Source organism: Homo sapiens, chromosome 14, assembly GCF_000001405.40.
Source record: "Homo sapiens chromosome 14, GRCh38.p14 Primary Assembly".
Lineage (NCBI taxonomy): Eukaryota > Metazoa > Chordata > Mammalia > Primates > Hominidae > Homo > Homo sapiens.
This window is the reverse complement of record NC_000014.9, coordinates 102689078-102709692: the sequence shown is the minus strand read 5'-3', so window position 1 is coordinate 102709692 and position 20615 is coordinate 102689078. Positions and strand designations below refer to the sequence as shown.

The following is a 20615-nucleotide window of genomic DNA, read 5'->3' as shown; positions in this document are numbered from 1 at the left end:
TCAGAGGCAAAAATATGCAGATGTATCATGGTCGATAATTTTATAGGCTCTTACAATTAAAAGAGCTTTGGAGATGTTCTTAACATCACTCTCAATTTATACTTGGGCCAAGAGGTTTGAATTCTCCAAAAGTGATACTCAACTTTCAATGTGTTCTCACATGTTACTCTTTCATTTGAAATGATAAAATTCCATCCTGAGATGGGACACCGGGGACCATATATTTCATCCTCCTTCATTTTATTTTTTTATTATTAATTGATAAAAATATTACAGGAAATGTGGAAAATAGGATTTTTTAAAACCCACCTATATATCTCACCACCCTAACAAGGAAACCACTAGGTCTGCATGCTGCCTTCTGGACTTCAAACATCTTCATTTTAGAGTTAAGGAAAACAGAAGCTTGGGGAAGACGCATGTTGAAGTCACCTGCCTGTGAGTATGTACAATTTTACACATTTTAAAAAATAAATTAAAGACCTTAAACATCCCAGTGTAGCCTGTGGCATGTAAGTGGAATCTTCAGAGCTGAGACCAGAGCCCATTTCTGAGTGTGAGTACCTGGCCATTTCTACTTCTCTATGCTACATATAAGACTGAGGAAGTGATGGTTAAGAAGTATTCTCCATACTGAGCTATCCTTAAAACTAATATCCTTACTAAGAGATTATAAAATGTTTCTCTTTCTCATTCACACACAAAAAACAGATGGTCAAAAAAAGAAGCAGCAACTCTAAGTTGTATTTTTGTTTCCACATGGCAAACATAAAAACACACCAAATGAATCTTGTAAAAATATACCACGTTAAACCTCAAACTACAAAATAAAAGATTCTTTTTTATTAAAAGGAGCCACCCCTTCTAAATGGGAAGGAAAAAAAATGGGTCAAAGTTAACTGACTCAAAATGGAAGTTCACTGACTGCAGGGAAAGAGTGGTGAGAAAAAATACCTGAATAATGTGACACGCTCTAATACATCTCATGAACATGTGGTTCCACCAGGAAGGCGCGGAGGGAAAACCAGTCATTCTGCCTTGCCTTTGTGTATCTGGGGCTCTTAGATAGTCCCCTAAGTGGTTAGACAACACCCCAGCCATGTGCTCACCTCTCCTCCCGCTCCCGTTTTTGTTTCCGGGCATGGCGATCCATCACACTAGTTTTAGTCCTCGTCTTCTTCCAAGAATAGTAAAATTTCACCAGACTTGCTATAGATTTATCTGGAAGCTAAACATAAAAAATGAGTTGGTTTATTTAAATAAAAAAGTAATCTTTAAAAATCAAATGTTTAAGGCCGGGCGCAGCGGCTCACGCCTGTAATCCCAGCACTTTGGGTGGCTAAGGCAGGCGGATCACGAGGTCAGGAGATGGAGACCATCCTGGCTAATATGGTGAAACCCCGTCTCTACTAAAGATACAAAAAATTAGGCCGGATGTGGTGACTCACGCCTGTAATCCCAGCACTTTGGGAGGCCGAGGCGGGTGGATCACGAGGTCAAGAGATCGAGACCATCCTGGCCAACATGGTGAAATCCTGTCTTTACTAAAAATACAAAAAATTAGCCGGGCGTGGTAGCGGGCGCCTATAGTCCCAGCTACTCGGGAGGCTGAGACAGGAGAATGGCGTGAACCCGGGAGGCGGAGCTTTCAGTGAGCCGAGATCGCGCCACTGCACTCCAGCCTGGGCGACACAGTGAGACTCCATCTCAAAAAAAAAAAAAAAAGATACAAAAAATTAGCCGGCCGTGGTGGCACGCACCTGTAGTCCCAAGCTACTCAGGAGGCTGAGGCAGGAGAATCGCTTGAACCCGGGAGGCGGAGGTTGCAGTGAGCCAAGATCATGCCACTGCACTCCAGCCTGGTGATAGAGCGAGACTCCGTCTAAAAAAAAAAAGTCCTTCGTATGGGTCTAATCTTTTGGGAGTCCCAACAAGAGGGACTGGGGTGGGTGGGGAGGGTCCAGTCACAGACGACAGGATGGGAAGTGCTAGAAGTGCTTTACTCCTGTAACTGGAAAACTCCCATCCACAGAGCAGCATGTACTAAGCTGAATCTAAAGGGGAACTTTATCAAAAATGGGAATATTTATGTTTGAGTATGATATCCCTATCTCAAGTATGCTGCAAAAGAGAGTTAGATAGGAGAAAAAAAATAGAACTCAGTGGTCTCATCTACTTACCATTTGTTGGATTCTATGAAAAGTTTTCCCATGAAAACTAAAGGCTTGCTCAAATAAGACTTTATCTTCCACAGTCCACTCATCTGGGAAAGGGGTAAAGTTGGGCAAATCAGCCAATGACTTTTCGATATTATGTTTATGCCAGAAGAGCATCCCAAGAGCCTACAAAAATGATATCAGTAAAATTTTAGATCAAACAAAAAACAATGAAAATGGAAATGAGACCAGCAAAAGAAAAGTAAAAACGACTTCATATTTAGACAAACTAACTCATCTACAGCGCTAAGTGGCAGACACTGTCAGAGGCCCCTTTTTCTATTCTTTGTAACTGTGGTAATATACACATACTTTTTTTTCAGGTGATGTAATTTTTATTATAGGTATAATGTCTTTTAATATAGGTATAAGTATCAAGAAAGAGTGAAGCAATTTAAATAAATTATTTAATTTTCAAACAATATGCAATATGTTTTAATTGGAAATTACACATACAATAAAAATATTTTTCTTGGAAATGATAAGTATACAATTCAGGATGGTGATAACTTGTTAGGTACAGCAACAAGGGAAGGTGGTATTTGTTAAGTATGGCAACATATGTATCATCAGGGAAGTGGTCACAGAGAAACTATAAATAATTCTTCTAAAATAAATTTTAAAAAATTTATTATTATTATTATTATTATTATTTGAGACAGGGTCTGGATCTGTCACCCAGGCTGGAGTGCAGTGGCACTCACTGCAACCTCCACCTCCCAGGCTCAAGCAATCCTCCTTGATCACCTCAGTCTCCCAAGTAGCTGGGATACAGGCACATGCCACCACACCCGGCTAATTTCTTGTACTTTCTGTAGAGACAGGGTTTTGCCATGTTGCCCAGGCTGGTCTTAAACTCCTGGGCTCAAGTGATCTACCCACTTTGGCCAGAAGTAGAATTAGTGGATAATACGGTAATTCTATTTTTAATTTTTTAAGGAGCTGCCATCCTGTTTTCCCCACCAGGTGTACCATTTTACATTCCCACCAACAGTGAATGTCCTTGTCTCTTACAACCTGTTTAAATTTAAAGTCTATTTTGACTGATATTATTATAATCACTCCTGCTTTCTTTTGGTTACTACTTGCATGGGATACCATTTTCCACCCTTTCACTTTAAAATTGTGTTTTTGGAACTAATGTAAATCTCTTGTATATACTGGGATCCTGTAATTTTTACCCATTATGCCAATCTCTGTCCTTTGGAAAGTTTAACCCATTTATATTTAAAGTAATCACTGATAAGGAGGGACTTCTGTCATTTGGCTATTTGTTTTGTACATTCCTTAAAGTTTTTTATGTCCTTCATTTCCTGAATTACTGTTTTTTTAGGTTTTTTTTTTTTTTTTTTTTTTTTTTTTGAGACAGGGTTTCACTCTCCTTGCCCAGGCTGGAGGAGCAATGTCATGATCTTGGCTCACTGCAACCTTCTCCCTTCCAGGCTCAATCAATTCTCCTGCCTCAGCCTCCTGAGCAGCTGGGACTACAGGTGCGTGCCACCATGCGCAGCTAGTTTTTTTTTTGTAGAGACAGGGTTTTGCCATGTTGCCCAGGTTGGTCTCCAACTCCTGAGCTCAAGTGATCTGCCTGAAGTGCTGGGATTATAGGTGTGAGCCACCACATCCAGCCTCCTTTTTATGTTTTGTTGATTATTTATAGTGAAAGATTTAAATTCCTTTCTATTTCCTTGTGTATATATTCTATAGCTATTTTCTGAGGCTGGGTGTTGTGGCTCACACCTGTAACCCCAGCACTCTGGGAGGCCGAGGTGAGAGGATCACTTGAGCTCAGAACATGGAGACCAGCCTGGGGAACTTAGCAAGACCATGAATCTACGAAAAACAAACAAACAACAACAAGTTAGCCAGGCATGGTGGTGCGCGCCTGTAACTGCAGCTACTTGGGGGGCTGAGGCAGGAGGACTGCTTGACTGAGCCCAGGGGTTTGAGGCTGCAGTGAGCTATGATCACACCACTGCACTCCAGCATGGATGACAGAGCAAGACCTTGTCTCAAAACAAAACAAACAAAAAGACACAAGCTTTTATTTATTTTAAGTTGCACATTACACCTTTATTACACTGATCTAGAAAGAAAGATTTAGTACAGTTATGCTCAAAATGAATACTGGGTCCACATGGCAGGGCCAAGCAATTAGAACGTGATTCGGAAATCAGCCAGTGAAAGACATACTTGGACATGATCATGAGGCATTTCACAGCCACAAAACAAGGTAGGGGAGAGATTCGAAAACCCACAGCAGGATGCAATCCTATCCCTTAGAGGTCAAGGAGCTTATCCCATATTGGTGTGAGGAATGGCTTCTTTCCCCCCTCTTTTTTTTTGTTGTTGTTGTTGTTGTTGATATAGAGTTGTGATCTAGAGTGCAATGACATGATCTTGGCTCACTGCAACCTCTGCCTTCTAGGCTCACGCGATCCTCCCACCTCAACCTCCAGAGTAATTGAGACTACAGGCACACACTACCATGTTTGGCTAATTTTTAAACTTTTTTTTAGAGATGAGGTGTCACCATATTGCCCAGGCTGGTTTCAACCTCCTGGGCTCAACAAATCTTCCCATCTCATCCTCCCAAGTAGCTGGGACCACAGGCACACACCACCATGCCTGGCTGATTTTAATTTTTTGTAGAGACAGGATTTTGCCATGTTGTCCAGGATGGAATGGCTTATTTCTGATGACCACATGTGGGACTATTTGAACTGCCACTAAAAATCCTAGAAGGGGGCTGGGCGCGGTGGCTCACGCCTATAATCCCAGCACTTCGGAAGGCCGACGTGAGTGGATCACGAGGTCAGGAGTTCGAGACCAGCCTGACCAACATGGTGAAACCCTGTCTCTACTAAAAATACAAAAATTAGCCGGGCATGGTGGCAGGCACCTGTAATCCCAGCTACTCAGGAGGCTGAGGCAGGAGAATTGTTTGAACCCGAGAGGCGGAGGTTGTAGTGAGCTGAGATCGCACCATTGCCCTCCAGCCTGGGTGACAGAGTGAGACTCCATCTCAAAAAAATAAAATAAAAAATCTCAGAAGGGTTTTTGTTTTGTATTATTTATACATACAATTTTTTGTAAAAGTAAATCCAACACATGAACTTAATACAGGATTGCTCTCAACCTTCTAGAGCCACCTACCCTGGGATCAGGGAGGAAATCGTTGTTTTTTCACATCACCGTGCAGGTTACTGTCATCTTCCACTGGAATGAGCAGAGCTCTCCTGACAGTGGCATGACTAGAGAAGAGTACAGGATTGGGTCCTGGGGTCAAGCAGGCCCTCTTTGCTTCTCCTCTTTGGTCATGACAGCATGGTTCCTCCCACAAAGGTCCTTAGTAAACAAGCCCTGGCAAAAGCCCTAGTCACTACCTCTCAACTCTCTTGGATAAGAGGAGCTTTCTCCCTGCACCAGAGGTGCTATCTGACTAGATTATATGAAGGGAGTGGGTGCAGGAGACAAAACTGATTACAATGAAAATGGGAGCCATGAGTTCCCATCTGCAGCTCCAACGTAAGATGCCTGCAGATGTGGTCGGTGTGGCATGTGCAGCAGGGAGGTGAAGAAGAATGGGTTGGGCAGGGAGAGTGCTCCTTGAGAGAGCAGTCAGCCTGCTGGCCTTCACTTCTTGGCCTTGCCCTGGGCAGCCACAGCTTCCATGGCTTTATGAATGGTCTCTTCATCCCCAGGAACTTTTTTTATTCATGGGCTTGATGGGCTTCAAGTTCTTGTCCAATTTATAGACCATGGGATTACCAGTTGGCAAGTTCAGCTCCACTGTGGTCTCTTCAGAGAGACTCTCCGGCAGCTTTTAACTGACAATATCTTCATTTCTCCCCTTTACTTTTGAAAGAATTTTCTCAGATATAGAATTCTTAGTTGACAGTTTTCTTCTCTTGCTGCTTTGAATATATCAGACCATTGCCTCTGGCTTCCAAAGGTTTTGACAAGAAATACCCTAATAAGCTTATTCAGGATCCCTTATATGTAATAGGTTAGTTCTCTCTTGCTGCTATCAAGATTCTCTGTCTTTTCAAAGTTTCATTATGTGCTCTGGTGAGCCTCTTTGAGTTTATTCTACTTGGAGTTCACTGAGTTTCTTGGATGTTTGTTTATATTCACATCTTTCAACAAATTTGCGAAATTTTTGGCCATTATTTCTTCAAGTAATCTCTCTGTCCCTATCTCTCTTACTCCTTATGCAACTTCCACATGCATATGTTAGTCCACCCGATTGTGTCCCTAGGGTACCTTAGGCTCTGTTCACTCTTCAATCTTTTCTCATCCTGCTGCTCAGACTCAAATCATTTCCACTGTCCTTTCTTCATGTTCTTTGTTGAGACTCTTCCAATCTGCCTTTGAGCACGTCTAGTGAATTTTTCATTTCAAGTGTTTAGGGTCTAGAATTTCATTTTGGTTTCCTTTCAGGTTTTCCATTTCCTTACTGTTATTTCCATTTGTTCATACATCATTTTCTTGATTTTTTCTGTATCTTCCATTAGTTCTTTAAAAACATCTTTAAGATAGTTGTTTTAAAATCTTTGCCTAGTAGATCTGCCACTAAGGTCTTTTCCCAGGGACAGTTTCTGTTGATTAATTTTTTTCTACTGAATGGGCATACTTTACCATTTCTTTGTATGCTCTGTGATTTTTCTGTTAAAACCTGGACATCTGAATCTAATAATGTAGTAAACTCATAATCACACTCTTCCTCAGGGTTTGCTATGTTTTTACTACAGTTTTGTTTTCTTTTGGTTGTAGGCTTGCCTCCATTGTGAGGATCAGCCTGAGTATAAACTGAAGGTCTTCTCTGAGGCACTGCCTTTCCCTGCCTCTGGTCACAGAACCAGCATAGTTCTAGGATCTGTGCTCTTCAAGTATCACACTTTACTGCCTCAATATATAAATGAAAAAAGTAATTTATGAAAGAACAATTGCTGTTATTCTTTTATTTTAAAAATTATATATATTTATATGTTATATATATGATATATAAAGGTCTTCTCAGCTTAGAAAGAAAAAAAGTAGAAATAGAATAAGCAACAAAAGAGGTAAGATGAGATCCAGCAATACTTTGCTAATGGTAATTTTTATGCTGGAATTATAATATAGGAAATTTTCATGCTAATGATCATTTTTAAAGGAGAAATGATCAAGACTACCATCCTTAAGAATTCATACAGGTATATTTTGCAATCAAAAGTAGCTTCAATGACCAGGATAGAGTAATTAAATGTAAGGCCAAGTCCAAAAGAAAGGGTACAATTTCACATAATCTAAACTCTTGGTAACTTCCATCATTCAGAAAAATAAGAAATGTCAGTAACTTCCAGGTTGTAAGATCTAGATTAATGCCATGGAAAGCATTAATCCAACTTGATGTGTTTAAAATAAATCATTAAAGCTGAAATAAGGTATCACCACACTTTTGCAGAAAAATAAATCTTGTGGATTTCTTATTAGTACATTCCAAACAATATTTAAAAGAAAATCTTGGCCAGGCGCAGTGGCTCACGCCTGTAATCCCAACACTTTGGGAGGCCCCTTCTCTACTAAAAATACAAAAATTAGCCAGGCGTGGTGGTGTGCACCTGTAATCTCAGCTACTTGAGAGGCCGAGGCACGAGAATTACGAGAACTACTTGAACCCCGGAGGCAGAGGTTGCAATGAGCTGAGATGCGCCACTGCACTCCAGCCTGGTCACCAGAGCGAGACTCCATCTCAAACTGAAAATGATTCAAAATGGTGAATATTAAAACACTTTAGGTAAGAATGTGAAAACATGCGTCAAAAAACATCATGATACAACCAGAAGAATGACAAACAAATCACATATTCAAATGAGAAAGCATTATGCTCAAGCATCCAGCTCCTTAGTAATCACTAAGTAATCAGTGTCCTAAAGGCTGTAGATCTGCAGATGACAGATATGCCTTTCAAATCAAAGGGTCCTCTAATATTCATCTTGAACAAGAAAAAGAAGACCAGAGTTTGTGTAACACTACTAGTAATTACCAAAAAGTTGCTAATGAAGAAACACTGCTACTCAATACAAAGAAGAAAAAAATATAATTATTTAGTTACAAATACTCATTTTTTAACAGCAAAAGAAAGAAAACCATGATATTACCTGTTCCATGTTGTACCCATGCTTTTCTTTGGCAATGGCAATGTATTCATCCACTGAAAAACAAGAAGAGATGCCATTAAACAAACTGAGGGACAGAGTACACCCTATGGTCTGCTAGAATTGATATACGTGTATATTTCAGGCCTGCTGATATGGTTTGGCTGTGTCCCCACCCAAATCTCATTTTGATTTGTATCTCCCACAATTCCCAAGTGCTGTAGGAGGGACCCAACTGGAGGTAACTGAATCATGGAGGATGGGCTTTCCTGTGCTATTCTCCTGTTAGTAAGTCTCACAAGATCTGATGGTTTTAAAAAGGGGAGTTTCCCTGCACAAGCTCTCTTTGCCTGCCGCCATCCATGTAAAATATGACTTGCTCCTCGCTCCTCCTCGCTTTCTACCATGATTGTAAGGCCTTCCTAGCCATGTGAAACTCTAAGTCCATTAAACCTCTTTTTCTTCCCAGTCTCGGGTATGTCTTTACCAACAGCATAAAAACGGACTAATACACTTGTCCTGTACAAGACTAAAAATAAAGAACACACAGTAACAAAACAGAACCATTATAATAGTTATTGATCCTGCAGAGAAACGTCTGAATGAATATTCTCAAATATTAACAGCAGTATCACCTGGTGATGAGATTATGAGTCTTCTTTAAAAGAGAAAAACAAAGGCTCATGCCTGTAATCCTAACACTTCGGAAAGCTGAGGCGGGAGGATCCCTTGAGGCCAGGAGTTCTAGATTAGCCTGGATAACATAGTGAAATCCTGTCTCTACAAATAATTTTTAAAAATAATTAGTCAGGGCTGGATGCTGCAGCTCATGCCTGTAATCCCAGCATTTTGGGAGGCTAGGGCAGGCGAATCACTTTGAGGTCAGGAGTTCGAGAGCAACCTGACCAACATGGCGAAACCCCATCTCTACTAAAAATACAAAAATTAGCCAGGTGTGGTGGCACATGCCTGTAATCCCAGCTACTTGGGAGGCTGAGGCAGGAGAATCGCTTGAACCCGGGAGGCAGAGGTTGCAGTGAACCAAGATTGCACCACTGCACTCCAGCCTGGTGACAGAGCAAGACTCTGTCTCAAAAAAAGAAAAAGGGAAAAGGAAGACAAAATCTTTAGTTCTACTTAAAACTTTCTACAACAAACAAGTACTACTTTAAACAACATGTCTAGCAGTAAAAAGAAATATGAAATTGGGCGTCATTTTTAGTTTCAGCTCAGGTTGAATAATGAACAAACTATTCTTTATGTTTTAAAAAATTCTTAAGAGATAGATTACGTGACCCAGTGCTTGGTATTTGCTTTCAAATATGTACTACTCCAATATAAGGTGGCTAGCTTTCAAGAACCATGGAAAATACCAAGGAAAATGAATTGACTCAACCTCTAGGAGAAGCTGCCACCCCCAAAGATGAATCAATTTCCTCCCTGAGGATATTCTAGTCTTTCTTCCCAAGTGTACAAGAAAAAATAATGCACTAGTCAATAGCACTGCCATATGTTCATGCATGATTTTCCTTTATGAATTAAAAAAATAACAACAACACAAGCTAAAAAAAAAAAAAATCAAGGAGCATAGAACTGTATGAAGTAGGCAGTAAAATCCTGACTAGCCCCTATTCCCTCTTGGCTCCTAAATCTTACTCTCTAGGTACAATGGCCAAACTTAGAGAAAACAGGCTCAGAGTGATCCACTTTCCCACTATGACACAAAGAGTAAACAGAGGAGTCCTAATAAAAGTCTGAGCTTCTACAACTTAGTTTGCCATGCGATTATACCAAAAGCATGCTCCCAGCTCTGGGAGAACTGTCAACCAATTTAGGAAACAGAAATCAATTTTGAAAAAGAATTCCAACTCTTATAGAAGCATGTATTCTAAAAATTGGGGAAAAATATTCCATTGACAAAAGAAAAAGTCAACCTAATTCAAACAATAACTAATTATATACTGCAGCTCAATATTAATTCTAATACTAAGCCACTAATTTCCGATTTAATATTTAAAATAGTTACAAACTGGTTACTTCACTCAGATTACAGTAAAATTTCAATTTACTTGAAGGTCAGCAAATGACAAATGAAATGACCATAGCTTGTCACAAAAGTATAACTGGTGATTTTAAAAAGCAGGGCAGAGGCCAGGCGCGGTGGCTCACGCCTGTAATCCCAGCATTTCCGGAGGCTAAAGCAGGTGGATCACGAAGTCAAGAGATCAACATCATCCTGGCCAACATGGTGAAACCCCATCTCTACTAAAAATACAAAAATTAGCTGGGCGTGGTGGCGCATGCCTGTAGTTCCAGCTACTTGGGAGGCTGAGGTTGCAGTGAGCCAAGATCGTGCCACTGAACTCCAGCCTTGGTGACAGAGCAAGACTTCATCTCAAAAAAAAAAAGGCAGGGCAGGGAATTACTCCAAAGTGTGTCCCTTGCTTTTTCCTTCACAATACATTAGATTATGCCAAATAAAAGTGCTCTCAGATTCTAAAAAATGTCAGATGAGGCTGCTCGAACAGGTGGTTCTGTATACCTGGCCAGAACCCTGCAGAGAGACACAGGTAATATGGGGGTTCATACTGGAGGAGATGAGATGCAAATGGCAGCATACCAGACCTAGAAACAGACAGCAGGCCAGCTGATTAAAAACCAGGTCATGAGATGCACTCAGGAATATGTAAGGACAGAAGGCGAAAACAATCTGCGGTAAATTGAGGGTCAACTCTGGAGAAGGTCTGCTTGTTTAAAACTGGCTTGAAGGGTTCCTTCCTTTAATAAATACTTGGTGAATGAACAACAAATGAACCTTAAGCTTCTGCTGTAAATCTCAAGTCTCAGAGCACACTATTATCTACCTTAACTGAGTAAGGAATGTATGTATGATCACCAGTAGCACGATCTTTGAGCAAACACATGCACAGGCTGAAAAAGTGATGCAGGAGTCCCTGGAGTGGCCCAGCACAGGGGCTAGTCCTGCCTGTGGTTCTTGGGCATATGTTATCTGCTCAGAGTCCCTCCTGCTACATCAGTAACAAGGCCTGTAATGCCTGTGCCCACTGTCTGCAACCAGATTTAGCTACAAATTTTAAGACACACACAAGCATTTGTTGAATGCTACTCCATTTTCAACTCCTCTTTTGCTTTATATCTTAAGAATCAGCTGGTGACAGGAACAACAAGACAGTAACAGTAGATCCCGAATGCTGCAGCTGAGGTTATATAGGACATCTGCCATATTGTAAACAATAAGGTATTCTTACTAAGGTAACCTTTAAAGTCATGTAACTTTTGGATTTTCTTGGATGGCCGGGTGCGGTGGCTCATGCCAGTAATCCCAGCACTTTGGGAGGCTGAGGCAAGAGGATCACTTGAGGTCAGGAGTTCGAGACCAGCCCGGCCAACATGGTGAAACCCCATCTCTACTAAAAATACAAAAATCAGCTGGGCACGGTGGTGCGTGTCTGTAATCCCAGCTACTTGGAAGGCTGAGGCAGGACAATCGCTTGAATCCTGGAGGCAGAGGTTGCAGTGAGCCAAGATCGTGCCACTGCATTCCAACCTGGGCAACAGAGCGAGACCCTGTCCAAAAAAAAAAAAAAAATTCTTGGAAGATCACCCTGATGACTCAAATCTAAAGTAAAGGAAGAAAGCACTCTACTGTAGTAACTACTTAAATGAAGACACATGGTGTGTCTACTAGGTGCTCGGAAGGTTGTGATGAAGTAAGTTAATGTACCAGGAGCCCTCTAACCTGTAAAAGGAATTACCATCTAATACCTACTAGCAAATATACACTTTTTCATTCTTTTCATTGTTCCCAATGTCCAACAAAAATCAGACAGACATTTGCTGAATGAATGCCTGGGGTGCTGTATTATGTACAATGTCAACATATGAGGTTTCCTGTCCCACAAGATAAAAGGCAGCACAGGTTATGTACAGGGTAAGAAAGACCCGGGTCAAATTCTGGCTCTGTCTCAAAATAAAATGAGTTTGTCTAGCAGTGCATGGCACACAGTCAGCACTGTATGACTATGTTATCTTTAGCAACGCCCTGACCTTCCCAAGAATTAGTTCTCACCAATAAAGCCAGGTTATCACCTAACTGGGAAAATGACACCACAGTAGGTACTCCTCCTCCTCTCCTCACAGAATGTTCTGGACTAGAGTTTACTCAGAATATAGCCATCTGCACAAGCAATGCTGTTGACAGACCTTGTCTCTTACTGTATTCCTGCTCTACATAATCCTCAGCTTTTGTTTTCTTTAATCAAGGGACATGCATAGCTGCCATACTTTTCAGAATCCCTGATGCTATTCCCTTCCCACCACCTACCCTGTTCCTTTACAGAGTTATACCAGTAGCTGCTGGTAGGACAGCAATGAAAATGAAAAGTGCACTTTTCAAAACCTCCCACGTGGTTTCCTTAACTGAAGCAAAAAAAAAAAGCTTTCAACCCAAGAAAATAAAATGTGTTCCCAGCTACCCTTATAAAAAAAAAAAAAAAAAAAAAAAGATAAGCAGATGCTTAAAAGTCAGTGAATAAAAGATGAAACAGGAAGGAAGAGGAGCAGGAGAAATACAAGCTACCTACAAAAAACTGCTCTTAAAGAAAAGAGGGATCCGTGGGGACTTTTCCAACTCTGGCAACAACAATCTTAATTCTGTCCCTTATCGATTAAAAATTCACCAATCTGGAAGTGAGGAGCCACTGAGGGCAGGGACTCATGAAGTAAACGCTAATCAGGACAATGAGCAAAGTCCACGCTGCTCAAGAAAATGCCAGCACGTTTCTATGGGCCCAGGCATTTGCACCCATCACCCTTCCCCAGTGTACAGGGTGCGCAAAGCAGGCCTGCCTGTGCAACCTGGCCGACATTCCAATCTGTCAGTCAGAAGCACAAGAATCCATCCACTGCGTTTTACCATTATGGAGAGCATAGGTGAATGAGTTATGGGCTTCCTCATAATATCACTTAAAGACAGAATGTGAAATCCTCATTCTTCAAGAAAATTTATAAAATTCCAAAAGCCTAATCAAGCATGTACTGAATTAAACTTACCATGAACAAAGCACTGTATTAAATAGCAAGCCGAAATAAGCAAAAATGAACCGATTTCCCACAGTAGCTTGAGACAACACACAGGCAACAGAAGAGAACAAACACACGAAATAACAACACAGATGTAGGACAGTATGGGAATGCCAAGTCATCAGATGATAATAATGATCAATGAAGGAATGCTTCCTAAAGGTTCGGCATCTATACTGACAAGCAGAAACAACAGCTAACGTCTGAGAATTTATTATTTATGAGCCATTGTTTTAAGCTCTTTACAATCTTTTTTTTAATCTTCTCTGATAGTTCCATTATCACTCTCATTCACAAAGAAACTGAGGCTCACAGAAGTAGTCTGGCTAGGGTCACACAGCTGGTAAATATCAGATAAGGTATAAGGTTTAAGACCTCTATGCACTGGGCGCAGTGGCTCACACCTATAATCCCAGCACTCTGGGAGGCTGAGGTGGGTGGATCACAAGGTCAGGAGTTCGAAACCAGCCTGGCCAACATGGTGAAACCCCGTCTCTACTAAAAAAAAAAAAAAAAAAATAGCAGGGCATGGTGGCTCATGCCTGTAATCTCAGCTGCTCAGGAGGCTGAAGCAGGAGAATTGCTTGAACCAGGGAGGCAGAGGTTGCAGTGAGCCGAGATCGCACCACTGCACTCTAGCCTGGGCAACAGAGCAAGACTCCATCTAAAACAAAAACAAAAACAAACAACCTCTATGCACAATTCCTCCCTCCTTCCCTCCTTTCCTTCTTTTAAAAAAGACCAGCTGGGTCCAGTAGTGAGAAGCAGGAAGAGAGAAGAACAAGGAGTTCCATCTGCAATTGTGAAGAATCAGTTGAGATAACTCACTACTTCGGACCAGCCAACACAGTTCTATCTCTTGAGGAGAGAAGATAGAGGCAGAAGGGCTCTTCAGATTAGAACAGCCTCCTTGGTACAGGGAACCAAGGCTAATCAACATACTGTATCTAGCTTGAATGAAGTTAATAGAACTGTGGTTGATGAAGTGACAGAAAGCAGGGGTAAGAAACAGATGGACGCTAAACTTCAATTGTTTCTATATTCATTTTAATTCAATGAACGAAATGCCCTAGTACCCTCAGTAAGTCTCAAGTGCAAAAGAAGGGAGAAATGCAGATGAAAATTGCCACAGTAACCTTAACTCACCCTTCCCTCCCCCTAGATACTGCAGATATTCAGAACACTGTGTGATCTTGGATATTCTATGCAAAGCAATAGGCTGGCACCATATGGTGGGCTGATGACAAGGCTTATAGCCTTCTTAGAGCTTTTTTAAAAAAATATTTTTGAAACTCTTGCTGTAGGATTAGGTACCACAGAGGAAACATGACACCAATTTCTCTCTCATCACTCAACTGAACATGCAAAAATTCTCTTTAAAAATACAGTAACAAATATTGTGGCATCTTTTATTATTAAAATAAGAAATGAGTTATCACACCTCGCTGAGAATCAAAATGAGCTTAAATCATTTAAGTAAAGCAATTGTGCCACCTGGTGGGTACAGACATTACTACAGTAAACATCTGAACGCTCCCTCTCTGGGGTGGAAAACAGCACAGGAAGCCAAGCCAGAGACTCTGCCTGAGGATTTCATCAATCCGTCCTTCCAAGTAGGTAACAAAATGTACGTTCTTTATAAAAATGCTATTTCTTGGCCGGGCGCAATGGCTCACGCCTGTAATCCTAGCACTTTGGGAGGACGAGGCGGGTGGATCACCAGGTCAGGAGATTGAGACCATCCTGGCTAACACGGTGAAACCCCATCTCTACTAAAAATACAAAAACAAAAACAAAAACAAAAAAATTAGCCGGGCATGGTGGCGGGTGCCTATAGTCCCAGCTACTGGGGAGGCTGAGGCAGGAGAATGGCGTGAACCCAGGAGGCGGAGGTTGCAGTGAGCTGAGATTGTGCCACTGCACTCCAGCCTGGGCAACAGAGCAAGACTCCATCTCAAAAAAATAAATTTTTTAAAGCTATTTCTTAGTGGGAGTTTGTTAAAATCCCACTTTACAGAATAAGTCAGTCTCCAACCCCAATCCCCAGAGAAGTGACTTGTCTGAAGCTTATCTTGGCAGAGTACACCAGTAGTTGCTGGTAGGGCAGTGATGAAAATGAAAAGTGCATTTTTCAAGATCTCTCACATGGTTTCCTTAAGTGAAGCAAAGGTAAGTTTTTAACCTTAGAAAATTAAAAGTGCTCCAGCTACCCTCATACAAAAAACAAAAGATTGGCCAGATGCAGTGGCTCACACTTATAGCCTGTAATCCCAGCACTTTGATAAGCCAAGACGGGAGGATTACTTGAGCCCAGGAGTTTGAGACCAGCTTGGGCAACACAGTGAACCCCCATTTCTTAAGATTAAAAAAAAAAGCATAAATGCTTAAGGTGATGGATAAAAGATAAAAGACGAAACAGGAAGCAGATAAACAGAAATACAAGCTACCTGCATCAAATTGCTCCAAACAAAGAAGGGGACCCTCGAGGACTTTTCCCCAACTTTCTATCTCTGGCAGCAATAATCTTGATTCTGTCCATTAAAGATGAAAGAGAGTCTGTGTTATAGGAAGGCTGGGTGGGTTCTTTAGCTCTGAAAAGGAAGCTAAACCCCATTGTGAGACTGAGTATGAGAGGGCAGGCTCTCCTGCCTGTGAGAGGGAGTTGGGAGGGGCAGGCCCTCCCACTGTTAAGTCCCACTGTTTGCAATGTGGAGGGTTTTCTATTCTTCATCCAATAGAGTAGCCTTCCATAAGCACTGCTATACAAACAAGTTATTTAAGAGCTTTCAAAGTAAGTTGCAACACAGTGATCTTTTATAAAATATATTGTTTATGTTGAAATTATTCTCCACTGATTTAACAAATCTTTCAGGCCTACTGTGTGCCTGGTGCTGCTTTGATAGCTGTGATTAAAATAGACAATCTCTGCCCTTATGGAACCCGCATGTCTGACTGGAGAGAGAGAAATAGTCATACAAATGAATTCCAATTGTCGTAAGTGACCGAGAAAAAGAACTATGAATGCACATAATTGAGAAACCTGATCTGCAGAATTAAGGAGGGCTTTCTTTTCAACTGGGGAGAGGACATTATAAATTCCTGTGTACTTGTGTTATTTATAGGAGGAAAAAAGAAGAACATCTAAATGTTCAAGAATGGGATGTGGGCTGGGAGCAGAAGCTCAGGCCTGTAATCTCAACACTTTGAGAGGCTGAGGCAGGTCAATCACTTGAGGTCAGGAATTCAAGACCAGCCTGGCCAACATGGTGAAACCCCAACTCTACTAAAAATATGAAAATTAGCCAGGTGTGGTGGTACATGCCTGTAATTCCAGCTACTCGGGAGGCTGAGGCACGAGAATTGCTTGAACCTGGGAGGCGGAGGTTGCAATGGGCTGAGACTGTGCCAATGCACTCCAGCCTGTGCGACAGAGCAAGACTGTCTCAAAAAAAAAAAAAAAAAGAAAAAGAAAAAGAAGGAAGGAAGGAAGGAAGGAAGGAAGGAAGGAAGGAAGGAAGGAGAGATGTAGTTGAATAAAGTATGCTACAAGATGTGATATTATTCAGGATCAAAACTCGGTTTAATTTTTAATTGCAGGAAAATTAAAGTTGAAAACCACTACATAGAAGATGTAACCATTTGTGCTTAAAATCAGAGTGCATATAAGCATACCGAAAAGATCCGGAAGCAAACTTTAATAGTGGTTATGTCCACATGGTGGGGTAAGTTAGAGGCTATTTTTAATAATAAAAATAAGCGTGTGTGTGTGTGTGTGTGTGTGTGTGTGTGTTAACTTTTTCCTGAACTACTTGAGAGCAGCTTTCATATATTATGACCCAGTACTCTTAAACATTCAGCAAGTGTTTTCTAAGGGTAGGTATACTGTCCTACATAACCACAGGACAGTAAATTAAACACGGAAACAATACTTTAATCTGCATCCACAGAACAATTTGGTGAACTGATCCCAAAATGTGCTTTACATGTGCTGAAGAATTTTAAAGTAAATCCCAATTATTTCATTTCATCCCTACATATATCAATATACACCTCTTTTTAAAATGTGGGAATATTTGTTTCATAACACCAATGCCATTAACAGACCTAACTAAAACAGCAAAATTCCTTGGTATATGAAACAGTGTTATACTCACACTAGACTGGTCTAACACGTATAAGTCCAACAACAGCAATTATTGGAGAGGATGTGGAGCAAATAAATTCTGCATTTTGCTGGTAGCAGTGTAAACCAGTTTGACCACTTTGAAAATAATTTGGCACTGATCTCTCAGAACTTAGCATATATATTCTAGATGGGCATCAAGAAATAGGTCCAAGAATGCTTCCCCAGCAGTAATATTTGTAATAGTCAAGAACTGATAATGGATGTCCACTGTCAACAGAAAGGATAAACTAAAACTGAACACAATGAAACGTTTTTCTGTATAAAGATACAGATTAGACATTAATATGATTACAAGGTAAATTACTGTTTAATAGAAGGCTTCCACTAGTTTGTAAATTCAACTCATTCAGCTATGTTTATTCTAGTACGTTTTGCCCATTTTAGCTAGTTCTAGAGCACTTAAAAAAATTAAAGTGATGAAAATACTTTTCACACACTCAAAAGACTCATTTTAATCACAAGTTTCAACCTCTTCTAGCCATATATTTTTAAAAAGCTGAAAACTAGGCCAATATAGGCTTACCCTATCGCTACTGCTGCTCACACCCAAGTCAAAGAATAAGTTGTTTTGTTTTGTTTTTTTCCCTCAACTTTTTATTTTAGAATCGGGGGCACGTGTGCAGGTTTGTTACAAAGACACACTGCGTGATGCTGAGGTCTGGGGTACAAATGAACCCATGACTCACTCAGCACAGGTTCTTTTTAAGCCCTTGTCCCCACCTCTCCCCATCCTAGGTAGTCCCCAGTGTCTTATTTATTGGTCCCATCTTTATGGCCATGTGCACCCAATGTTTAGCTCCCACTTGTAAGTGAGAATATGTGGTATTTGTTTAAGCACACTTCTCCTTCACGGCGCTCAATGAACTTATTTACCAGTGCAGCTTCCCGTAGACTGTAAGCTACACTTGGGCAGGGACTTGTCGGACTGTTCGTGTATTTCGCCAGTGCCTGCTAGCGCTTGGTACACAAGCAGTTGTGCAAGTTACTGAGTAAACAAATGATAGCCACAAGGTAAGGGACAAAGAAGGAAATGTTATAAGATTCCAGACAACCCAAGTTACAGAGCAAATGGCAGAAAAGCCTGTATTTGCAAATCTCTATCCAGGGGAATCCTGCACTCCCACCACCTTCTCATTCATTCAATAACTTATTTATTATACACCCACCACATGCCAAGAGGGGACTGACAGAGAACTGAACACACATACCAAGTTCCTCCACTCAGTTTTACACTACAGTGGAGAGAGACGAGAGACATAAAGTAGATAATACGATGTCCGGTGATGATAAGCAGAATGAAAGAAAGTGAGTTAAGACAGTGAGTGGTTTGTGTGGTCAAAGAAGGCTTCTCTGATATAGTGACACTTAAGCAATAACCAGAATGAACTGGGGGGTGAGCCATGTGGACATCAAGTTCTTTTTTTGTGTTATTATTATTTTCTTTTTTCCTTTTTTTAAGACAGGGTCCTGCTGTTGCCCAGGCTGGAGTGCAGTGGCGCAATCACAGCTCACTGCAGCCTGGACCTCCTGGGCTCAAGTGATCCTCCCATCTCAGCCTCCCAACAGTCTGGGACTACAGGTGTGCACCATCATGACTGGTTAATTTTTTTGTAGAGATGGAGTTTTGCCATGCTGCCCAGGGTGTGTCAGGTTCTTTTGACTTTAACTTACAATGAATTGAAAAGCTACTGGGATGCTCTGAATAGAGACACCTGACATTTACTATGTATCTACATGAAAGTTTAGAATTATATATGATATATTACACATTATTCATATTACTCTAAACTTTCATGTACAATATAGTAAGTCAAACATCCTAAAGTAGAAATGAATTGTGCGTATGTCATAGGTACGGCTCTTATTCCAAGAAAGCTAAAACTTACTTTTAAATCCCTAACTTAAACTTGTCTTTTGACACAACTTTAAATTATCTACCTCCACCATGTTACATGCAATTTTTTTCCTTATATAGTTAATAGCTAGCTTAAAAAAAAAATCAGGCCGGGCGCGGTGACTCACGCCTGTAATCCCAGCACTTTGGGAGGCTGAGGCAGGCAAATCCCAAGGTCAGGAGTTTGAGACCAGCCTGGCCAACATGGTGAAACCCCGTGTCTACTAAAAATACAAAAAATTAGCTGGGCATGGTGGCGGGTGCCTGTAATTCCAGCTACTAGGGAGGCTGAGGCAGGAGAATAGCTTGAACCTGGGAGGCAGAGGTTGCAGTGAGCTGAGATTGCGCCACTGCACTCTAGCCCAGGCATCAGTGCGAGACTCTGTCTCAAAAAAATCAGCCAGCTTGTTTTTGGCACAGCTAACGATTTCCATTTTTGTCTATTTTAACACAGAGATCCATGATTCTTACCACTGGACCAGTTTTTCCTCATTTTTATAAAATAAAAAACCCAAAATGCAAACACTTAAATAACTGCACAAACACTTACTATATATAACTTATAAAATGCATAATGCATAAATGAGCAAGACCATCTGTTTCTATGGATATCCAATAGCCAAAAGTCACCTTGCTAAATTCTACACCCAAGGCAACAGCAGCCCATCTGAGAAATTTGCTCCTTCTGGGAACTATCAACATCATTCAGCATGAGCAATTTAGTTGATTATATATTTTTAAAAAGCAGACTATAAACAACAGACAAGGCTATACCCGAGCTTCCCCTCTAGTTCCACTCCCCTTCTTTTCAAGCCCTACCTTAAAAAAAATAATAATAATCAAGCAACAAAAAAAAAATCCTCAGATTAATCTATCCATTTCATTAAGACCCTTGGACCACAGTTTTGCATTATATTTAACCACACGTGCCTGGGTAAACTTTGTTTTTCCTAAGTCAGTAAAAGGAACCAGACTGGGCCTACAATCTGGCCTAAACTCTACATATATTTTAAACTCTAATACGCCCACTTTGTTAACGTTCAGCTGCTTCTCTAAACAAACGAAGTCCAAAC

At 40.9% G+C, this 20615-nt stretch overlaps 1 protein-coding gene across 2 annotated transcripts in view, besides 2 other annotated features; it reads right to left on the bottom strand.

Annotated features, from left to right (window-relative positions):
• Positions 1 to 20615, bottom strand: part of RCOR1 (REST corepressor 1) — a 137913-nt gene that overhangs the window by 20869 nt on the left and 96429 nt on the right. For both annotated transcript variants that reach the window (NM_015156.4, XM_047431148.1), the window contains exons 4-6: positions 8363 to 8415; positions 2181 to 2342; positions 1110 to 1228 (exon numbers count right to left, since the gene is read on the bottom strand). In NM_015156.4, coding sequence (NP_055971.2) covers positions 1110 to 1228; positions 2181 to 2342; positions 8363 to 8415 — 334 coding nt within the window. The remainder of the gene's footprint in view (positions 1 to 1109; positions 1229 to 2180; positions 2343 to 8362; positions 8416 to 20615) is intronic.
• Positions 793 to 1992: an enhancer, noted in NCBI's record as "MED14-independent group 3 enhancer chr14:103174038-103175237 (GRCh37/hg19 assembly coordinates)". NCBI's record gives its function as "activates an origin of replication core promoter dependent on BRD2, BRD4, P300/CBP and CDK7 cofactors, and independent of MED14, by STARR-seq in HCT116 cells {active_cell/tissue: HCT116}" and the evidence as "EXISTENCE:reporter gene assay evidence [ECO:0000049][PMID:35650434]".
• Positions 12609 to 12758: an enhancer, noted in NCBI's record as "active region_9077". NCBI's record gives its function as "activates an Ori minimal core promoter by ATAC-STARR-seq in GM12878 lymphoblastoid cells {active_cell/tissue: GM12878}" and the evidence as "EXISTENCE:reporter gene assay evidence [ECO:0000049][PMID:35858748]".